A 9,770-nucleotide genomic window follows, 5' to 3' on the forward strand; every position below is an offset into this window, starting at 1 on the left:
TCCTTCTCTGTGCTGTGTGCTTCCAGCTGCTTCAGTGCTTTCTCCACATTTGCGGGAGACCCGCCCACTGCCTCCCACATTTCCACTGGGGCACATCCAAGCAGCACCTCTGCCACCGGGTACCATAGCCCATGCTGCAAGATGTTAGGGAGTGGCTCTCTAGCTGCTGTTCTCACCCCAAATGTGGGATGCCACATACATGAAGGGACTACTGATATGGCAGCCCTCTGGGAGGCAGAAGGCCATTGGTGGGACTGAGGAACTAGTGCCATAAACAACGGGAAGATGCCCACTCCACAGGTAACCATGCCACGAGGTGAGAAGGGGTCCCAGAAGCCGACCCAGGAGCCCTCGGGGGCTGAAGACCCACTCACTTCATCCTGCCAACGTTGCCAATTGTCAGGTTCACGACTATGCCAAATGTCCTGCTTGGGGTCAGGTTCCAGATCATGATGAGGTTCGAGGGGAGTGGGCAGATGGTCAGATAACTGAGAACAGTCAGCATGGGCTGGAACCTGACTGTGAAAAAACACTCAGGGGGCTATGAACAGGTGAAGTGTAGTTTTATTCAGCAGCTCTCTCATCAGCAGCTTACTCACACTAGCTCTCCCACACTGTCCACCTTTTCTCAGCTGCTTAGTCCGGCAGCCCCCACACACAGCTGCACAACCGGCTCTCCCGTCAGGGTCAGCAGCTTAACTCTTTCTCTCTCTCTGGGCATGAGCAAGCTGAGCTCTGTTCTGGCTCCCTCCTTTGTCATCTGCAAAGATGGACAGCTCTGGTGCTCTCTTTCTCTGGGCGAGAAGTGCACCTGTACAGTGTCAACAGGGTAATTATATCTTTTACAGACAATAGTGGCTTAGAGCCAAGTGATGAGCCTTCCCTATGCTATGGCTATGGTGGTGAGCTTCTCTATGTTATGTCTACACGGCTATGATAATGAGTGGAGTTATACGCCTGCACTCTAAACTCAATGGGTCTGGATGTTTATCTCTGCCTGTCCTTGACCAAAGCACAGCCATATTCCTTAGAAGAGAGTAATCACACTTCGTGCTGCAGGCATGATCTAATCAGGAACGGGTCAGGAAAGACCTCTTCCCACCCAGTAGGGTTGTTTGGTTGGCTAGGTGCACTAACTGGGGTGAAGACTGCTAAATTCCTGTTAAGCATCAGGCATTGCAGCTGCAAGATGTTAGGGAGTGGACTTGACTGGGTAATAGTCTAATCTGCTGCAGCTTTGCAGGATTACTGCAGGGTGCTATTTCAATTTTCTATGAATTCCTCATTGCTATCTCTGTCTTTTGGAATCTAAGAAAGTGTATCTACTTCTTTAAACAGAGATTATGGGAAGAGAGGACTTTAGTGCTGAAAGAGAATTTAGAAATTATCTGTTCTGATCTTCTGACTTCACAGAGGGTAAAATTTATGTTGTTAAATGCTAAGTGACTTGCCCAAGAGCATATTAGGAGCTGGTGGCAGAACTAGGATTAGAAGCTGGGTTCCATGGCGCCAATCAGATCTTCTTTCCATTATGTTATAATTAAGATCCACTGTACAAAGGTCAGTCAGTTTCAGCTATGCCTGAGGTTCACCAAACTTTCTTAAGCCTGGAGGGCTTGTTACAATACAAATTGGTGGGTTCTACCCCCAGGGCTTCTGATTCAGTAGTAAATGTCAATGGGCTGAGAAGGTGGAAGTTTCATAAGTTATCAGGTAATGATGCTGCTGCTAGTCCAGGGACCAAACCTTGATAACCACTGAGATATCCTAAAGTTACCAAATGGGACAAACATTTCTTTCTCTTCTCATTCATTTGTTCAGTTGTTTATTCACTCAGTCATCAAATATTTATTGAGTATCATCAACTGAAAGCCTCACATGTTGGTGCTGGGGATGGGAAACATGAAGATGACAAAAGCACAATCCTCTTCTTGAGGAGTTCACAATCACTGGGGAGGGACAGATGCATAAATAAGCAATTACTGGGCAAACATTTAAGTGCAGTGATAGAATTCTGCAGAAAGTTAATGGTTGCACCAGAATCAAAGTAACTGAAGTGGAACTATTTCACGGAAGGCTTCACCGGAAAGGCAACACTCAGTCTGGGCCTTGAAGGACAAGTGGGATTTCTCCATATAATGCAGGGACAAAAAGATATTCCAGCTTGAAGGAATAGCATGTGTAAAGGCATAAAGAATGACATTTTAGGGAGAACTGGCTTAAGTAAGTGGCAGAAACATTGGCTGTACGGAACAGATGTCGAGGAGTGGAAGACAATTAAGACAGAAAGTTATGGAGCTGAAGATGAAAGGCATTTCATGATCTGCCAAAGTGTTTGGGATTCATCTTGTATGCAGCAAAGATACTGAATGGTTTTAAGCAGGAACATGTTTTCAAGTAGCTTGGGCTATAGTGGAGAGTAGATGAGAGGGTTTCCTGGAAGCAAGGAGGAATTAAGAATCTATTATAGCAATCTACATGAGAAATGATGGTAACTGGTCCAAAACAATAGCAATGGGAATGGACAGAAGTGACGATTAGAAAGTTAAAATAACCAGGGCGTGTTAACAGGTCAGAAGTAAAGAATGAGGGTAAGGAGGGAGTCATAGATAATTCCATGGTTTCTAGCTTGGCCAGCTGATGAAGTGGAAAGACTATTAATAGAGATAAGAAATAAAAAAGAAATAGGTTGGAGGGAGATATTAAAGGTTCATTTGGGACACGTTGGGACTCTGATGTCTGAGGACAGACAAGAAGAAATGTCCTGCTGTGACTGGGAAATACAGTTGGAGGTTCAGGAGAATGGTGCAATGTCAGGATAGAGATTGGGGTAATGTCTTCGAAGGGAATGAGCTTAGGGAGATGAGTTGAATGTCTTCTCCTGGATTAATATTTACATTGCTGTCACAGTGATAAGTGATATAACCTCAATTATAAAGAAAGGAAACCAAGAGATTAATGATACTAAGGGATAACCAGAAAAAAGTGAAAATCAAAATGCAAAATTTCTAATTTTGAAACTTGAATATTTTGAGAATGGACGCTAAGAAAACAACTGTAACAACATATGTTTCTAATTGGTGTTCTTAGCTGAGCCACTACTGGTTCATTGGCCTAAGACCTTCTTTGGGCAAATTCTTAACTCCTTCAGGTCTCAGTCATCTAATCTATAAAACAGGGTTGCTGAGGATTAAATAAAACAATTCAGGTAAAATATTTAGCATAATACTTGGCATATAAAAAGGGTGCTGTAATTTTTAATATATTTACTTATCAGTGGAACAACTGTGCTAGAAAGCAGAAAACAACTAAAAACACACATTAAAACTATCCAAGAAAACCACCAGTAAAAGAACAAGTGAAGTTAGTTACTGGGAAGACAAATGCTATTCAAATAAATGGCTTTTTCTTGCTACTTCCTGAATACACAGAATGGTATTTAGTCTGACACGTCACCTACTATGACTAAAACACCACAAAACACCTCTAATTCCTTATATTAGTTTTCTATTGCTGAGACACAAAAATATCACAAACTCAGCAACTTCACATAAATTTATCTCGGTTTCACATGACTGATACTCAGCTTAGGGTCTTACCAGACTGAAGCCAAGCTGCTGGTCGGAGCAGTGGTTCTTGGTTCTCATAGGGCCCTCATGCAAGTTCACAGGTCACAGGCAGCAATTCATTTCCTTGCAGTTGTAAAATTGAGGTCCTCATTTTCCTTCTGGCTGTCAGTTGGGGGCTACTGTCAGCATCTTCAGGCTGCCTGCAGTTCTTTACCACATGGCCCCCAGAGGCAGTTCACAACATAGATGTGAACTTTTTCTCTACGGGCCAGCAAAGAACTTCTGGAGCACTAAATCCTTCTCATGCTTCTAATCTGACTTCTGTCTCTGACTTCCAGACAGAGATTTATTGGGCTTATATGATTAGTCCTTCTAGATAATCCATTTTATGGTCATCTGATGTGGTACCTTAATTACACCTGCAAAATCCCTTCACAGCCAGCACCTAGAATGGTGTTTGATTTGAGTAACTGGGAGGTGTGTGTACCCCAAGGGGCTGGAGACAGGGACCATCTCAAGACCCTCCTACCACATTCCTGAAGCCCCTGCAAGTTCAGTCACAGGACTGAGCAGTGATTTTTAGTGGCATGGCTGGATTTAACATTTGACCCTCTGGCTATTTCTCTACATTCCATTTATATTTGAATGACAAGTTGCGAATACCTCAAAGTCCAAGAGATATGCATTTTAGAATGATGTGTAATTATGGGTCTTTCACCTTTAAGTCTGTGCCCCTAACACCTACATAATCATTGGGTCAAGACAAGAATTTGTCACTTAAAAAAAAAAAAAAAAAAAAACAGCTTTTCAACTAAAATTGTTTACTATTGTTTAAGAAATGTCAGTTTGATCAATGTAGTCCTGGCAATAAATCAGTTGAGGCCAAGCCTGGTTTGAGGGGATATGTGAACATATACTTGCCCTAAACATATTTAATTAAAGAGCATGTATTTTATGTTGTCAAATCAACTGGCTTCTTTCAGGAGCCTCCTAGCTTAGACACAGCCAGGCTGAGAAACCATTAATAAAAAGAAGCAAGCAGCAAATGCTAAGCTAAGGGTGGAGCTGAAGTACAAATCATGGTTGAGATGCTAACTTCCAGGGCCACCAGAAACAGCTGTCTCTGCACTGGTCTCAGCCAGGTAAAGCTCCAGAAACTTTTGAGACTGCTCTGCATTTGGGACACTCCAGGGCTGTCAACAACAGCTGTCTCCGCAACTGGCCTAGGGAAAAAAAAAGAGATCTCCCATCCCCTTCCCCTATCTTACCCAGATCCTTGAGGGTCAATCTATATGTGGGTCCTTTAATATGTTCATTTTGCTAGCTGATCACACTATTCCAGACTAGTCAATACAATACACAATAGGAACAAAAGATGGTGTAATGATTTCTTGAATATCTCGAGATATCAAAGTTTATACTCACTATATATAGCTTGAGTTAACGATATCTTGGACACTGATAAAAGCCAATGTTCACATGTACATTCACATTTTGGTCTCTGGATCCTAGAGAAATGTATAAGTGCATTTTAAATTACTTTTTGTACTTTGTCTCTTGTCTCCTTCTTTGCTATAGGTAATGATGAGACTTTATAAACTCTCTTTTCCATGCTGTAAAGGGATTCTAAAGTCTGTAAATCATAATTAAGCTGGTGTTCTTACATGACTGAGTTATAATCCATTGATTCTTGAGCCCATTTATCCTGCTTACTCCACCTCAGCTTCAACAAAAGGAAAGATATTGGGGGCAGTAAGTGAACTTTCTGTATTGAAGGATTAAGACGATGTCTCTGTCTCTGAAACCTCTCTGAGAAGATCAGACTCATCCCTAAAACAAACTAGGATGTCTGGGTTAGCACTGGCAGAAATCAGATTTTGGAGTATACTTCAAAAGAAAAAAAAAAAAACTTTTAACAAATGCAGATTTTCCTTTTGCTTCTTCCCACATTATAGACATGGTAGAACAATATTTTGCCCATACTTAGTTAAATTATTCCAAGATGGAAAGAACCAAACACACTTTGGCATTATTAATGGTGAGCAGGCAGGTTTATTCAGAAAAAGCTCAGATTCATACTCGTAAAAGTCTGAGAAAAACATTAAAATGCTATTACAATACAGTTGACCCAAACAACACAGGTTTGAACTGCGCAGGTCCACGTATCTGTGGATTTTCTTCCACCTCTGCCACTGGGACAGAAAGACCAACTCCTCTTGCTCCTCAGACTACTCAGCGTGAAGATGAGGATGAAGACCTTTAGGATGATTCACTTCTACCTAACGAATAGTGAATATATTACTTCCTTAATAACATTTTTTTTTTCTCTAGCTTACCTTCTTGTAAGAATACGGAATATAATACATACAACACAAAAAATGTGTTAATCAACTGCTTTATGTTATCAATAAGGCTTCCAGTCAATTGTAAACTAACTACTAATTAAGTTTTTGAGGAGTCAGGTTATATGCAGATTCTCCACTGAGCAAATGTTCAGCGCTCTTAACTCCTGTGTTGTCCAAGGGTCAACTGTATATATATTTAAGAGTTATTATTTACCCAGTAGATCAAGCCAAGACCAAGTTAGGTTTATGTGTTTTTGGTTTAACCAAAGAAAATGTTCAGGGACTAAAGCAGTCCATCAATAGAACAGACTGCCTTTTAAACCAGGGAACAACTTGTCTTTGTAGGTATTTTAGGTATATGAATGACCATATGTATCTGCTTTGGGTCATCCATGGTCCCTTCCAACTTAAAACTTCTCTATTCATGAACATAGCATAACTGAGCTATGGATTTCATATAAATAATATCTTGTTGCGTACTTTAGGTTTGAAATGTTTTCTTTTTCAGTTGCATAGATATATGTAGCACCATCCCCGCTATGAACTCTGATGTAGAAAATACAAGATTCTAAAGTCATCTGTGAGGCTAAATAGACTTAGGCACTTCCACATAATGCTGCAAAAAGCAACAGCCGTAAAGGTACTACCTGCTCAACATGTCATTCCAAACAAATACACTATGATTAGCAGCTGAATTTAACAGTATCTTTCCGCTTTGAAAAACACTTTATATACCTTTACAAAGAAGCCATAGTATCTCAGGGTAGAAAAACCCAATAGGTAGAAAACATGGCCTTCTCTTAGAAATGAACTATGTAATTTTGAGTACTTATCTCAAAATCATCACAGAAACATATCTAGTGCTTGTGGAAAAAGAATCAAAAGATCTTTTTTTTTTTTAGCTAAAGGTTTTGAATTTTTCTTGTGACATTTAAGTCTTTTATTGTATGCTGATTTTTATGATTATCTAACTGTTTCATAATGGTTATTCTTGCCTCCATGAAAGGGAAGACTAGAACAAAAAACTGACAAGAACAAGTTCTAGCTCCATCACGGACTTACTGAATGACCCTAGGCAAATCATGTGGGCTCTTTCTTGTGTTTTAAGTTTTACCTCCAATGAAGTAACTACCTCAGACTAGCTGTGAAGCTCTCATAAGGTGATGGATTTGAAAATGCCTTGCAAAGTATCAGCAATTCATACACAGAAAATTTCACGTACTTCTATATATTGCATGATGCCCACCCAGGGTTAGGTTAACAGTTGTTGATCCAATTATGAAAGAAATAAAAAGAACTCTTTAAAATAATGAAGTAAAATAGCTAATTTTCCCGTTGGTTTACCATATGCTGTATTTAAAAGTTTTAAAAATTATACTAACTATATAACTAAACATATTTATGTTTATTATATATAATATGACATGCAATTATATAAGACATACTATTATGTTTATATATAATGCTTAATTAAGCAATTATATTTAAATATAAGTTATACTTTCCTTCCCCAGATAAGACAAAGAACCTGTTTACTTCTCTGAGGGATTTATTGGTTCCTGTGAAATCTGTGAAGGCCACAAACACTCCATAGCCAGAGAATGACAACATACGATTTTCTTCTCAGTCTTGTAGTATCCACAGTAGTGATGTCTGTCCATGTACAAGTGTCTGTCCAGAACACCCATTAAATTCCATGCCTGCTGTGTGTGTCACGGGGAAAGGGACAGAGACAGAAGACAGATTCACTGGTGGTACTTTCAAACAACGCGGTAGGCCTTCCCTTTGGGGTCTGCCATGACAACGATACCCCAGGTGGCAATGCCTAGAAAAAAAACAACAATACCTTACCTTTATGCTGCATTTAAATTTACCAAGTGTTTCACATATACGCCATCTTATTTAACCCTCACAACACTTCTGGAGGATATATTACCATTGTATCTTTCTTATAAGGCAAGTGAAGCACAGAAAAAGAAAAAAAAATCAGGAAAAAAAAGAATATCCTGTAGGAGAATTTACCTATACAGGATCAAGAAGGTAAGACAGTTAGAAACCTAAAATTCTATTCACTGACAATCGGTTTGAAAGCTAAAAAAATCATGACGTTTGATTGGATGACATCTTGACGATCACAGAACGGGGCTGTGGGCCACATTACCCAGGTGTACCAAGTAGGTGAGCTTAGAATCCACGTCTAAAGATCTGGGATTCAAGGCAAATTTCTTAAATTAAGGTCAAGGGCCCTCGCTCAGGCTTTCTCCAGGACCTGGAGAAAAAGTATGGGCTTTGAGATCTGATATACCTGGGATCAAGTGACTGTCATTTCCTGACCATGAACACAATACTCCTCGTTGCCTCGGTTTGCTCCACAGTAAATACTATAATCATACCTACTTCTAACAGCTATTCTGAGAATTAAAAGGGCTGAGTCTAATAAGGGTTCTCAAGAAATACTAACTTAAAATTAAAAAAAAAAAAAGAAAGGCGTTCCAACAACTTCCTCTCCCACCTTGTTTGAGGTGCCCCCACCACCTGACCAGCGGCAGCACCCCGCCTCCCCGCCTCCCCGCCCACGTGGCTGCTCCGTTTCCTTCCTCTACCCCGCAGATACCCAACCCGCCCAAGTGCTGTGCCTTGATTCTCACTGAGGCCGATGACCATCTGCGTAATGGTCCATGGACTCGGGGGGTATCCCATCTTCATGGGCTTCCGTGCCACCCAGTACACGTACCCGCCCGCCCCCATCAGCCCCAACCCAGAAAGCACGCGACAGCTCCAGCAGGTCTTCAACAGGCGGTGTTCTGCTGGGGAGGTCGGCGCTCCGGGTGTAGCTGGGGGCGCAGGTTTGGCGGGCGCGGCGGCGGTACCGGGAGGCGCAGTGATATAGGACTCAAAAGGCTGGGACAACCGAGACCCCATGCTCTGGAACTCGGCCTCAACCTTGGGCGTCTTTGGTTCAAACTGGCGTAAACGACGCACCGGAAGGCAGAGCGCCGGAAAGCAGAATGCCGGGACGCTAGCGCAGTGCGCGGAGGAATCTTAAGGGCTGCTGGGAAATGAAGTTCTCCTCCGCTTCAGAGGCGGAAAAGGTGAAAGAATGCTGCTCTTTCCTGCTGGATTTCTCTGGCAGCAACAACCTTGTATGCGCTGGAGGACAATTCCAGCCCTCCTCCCCGCCGCCCCCCCCGCCCCCACTGTTTTAGAAATTCTGTAATCGCTACTCACTAAATGAATCACCTTTCAGTCTCCTTAAAGAAGTCTGGCTCTCTTAAGTTTCCTGCCTCACATGAACTGCGAGACCTTGGGCATGTCATATCTCCTATCCAGAGGCCTGTGAATCAAGGAGTTGGGTTTTATATGTGCATAATCATGTGCTAGATACAGACATACCATAGCGATTGCAGGTTTGGTTCTAGACCAACACAATACAGCAAATATCTCGATAAAGCAAGCCATGCAATTTTTTTTTGGTTTCTCCGTGCATATAAAAGTTGTTTATACTGTAGTCTATTAAATGTGCAGTAGCATTGTGTCTAAAAAACAGTATATATATCTTAATTTAAAAAACATCTTGCCCAAAAAATGGTAACGATTACCTTAGCCTTCAGTAAATCCTAATCTTTTTTTTTTTTTTTTTTTTGAGGTGGAGTTTTGCTCTTGTTGCCCAGACTGCCCAGTGCAATGGCACAATCTCGGCTCACTGCAACTTCCGCCTCCCGGGTTCAAGTGATTCTCCTGCCTCAGCCTCTCGAGTAGCTTGGATTACAGATGCCTGCCACCACGCCTGGCTAATTTTTTTGTATTTTTAGTAGAGACGGGGTTTCACCATGTTGGCTAGGCTATTCTCAAACTC

General features: G+C 41.5%; 1 protein-coding gene across 3 annotated transcripts, besides 1 other annotated feature; it reads right to left on the reverse strand.

Annotated features, from left to right (window-relative positions):
• Positions 1–5,601: 5,601 nt before the first annotated feature.
• Positions 5,602–8,880, reverse strand: DMAC1 (distal membrane arm assembly component 1). Of its 3 annotated transcripts, none has more exons than NM_001318059.2 (2): positions 8,649–8,880; positions 5,602–7,739 (listed from the first exon to the last, which is right to left on the reverse strand). In NM_001318059.2, exons 1-2 carry the CDS (start codon positions 8,834–8,836, stop codon positions 7,538–7,540), a joined length of 390 nt encoding a protein of 129 aa, NP_001304988.1. In that variant the 5' UTR covers positions 8,837–8,880; the 3' UTR covers positions 5,602–7,537. The 3 variants fall into 3 exon arrangements, with proteins under 3 accessions (NP_001304988.1, NP_219500.1, NP_001304987.1); NM_033428.3 differs by having other exon boundaries at positions 8,563–8,880; NM_001318058.2 differs by having other exon boundaries at positions 8,551–8,880.
• Positions 8,644–9,190: an enhancer, noted in NCBI's record as "H3K27ac hESC enhancer chr9:7799542-7800088 (GRCh37/hg19 assembly coordinates)". NCBI's record gives its function as "activates a minimal SCP1, AML or CMV promoter by ChIP-STARR-seq in primed H9 embryonic stem cells {active_cell/tissue: H9 hESC(primed)}" and the evidence as "EXISTENCE:reporter gene assay evidence [ECO:0000049][PMID:30033119]".

This window comes from Homo sapiens, chromosome 9, assembly GCF_000001405.40.
Source record: "Homo sapiens chromosome 9, GRCh38.p14 Primary Assembly".
NCBI classification, from domain to species: domain Eukaryota; kingdom Metazoa; phylum Chordata; class Mammalia; order Primates; family Hominidae; genus Homo; species Homo sapiens.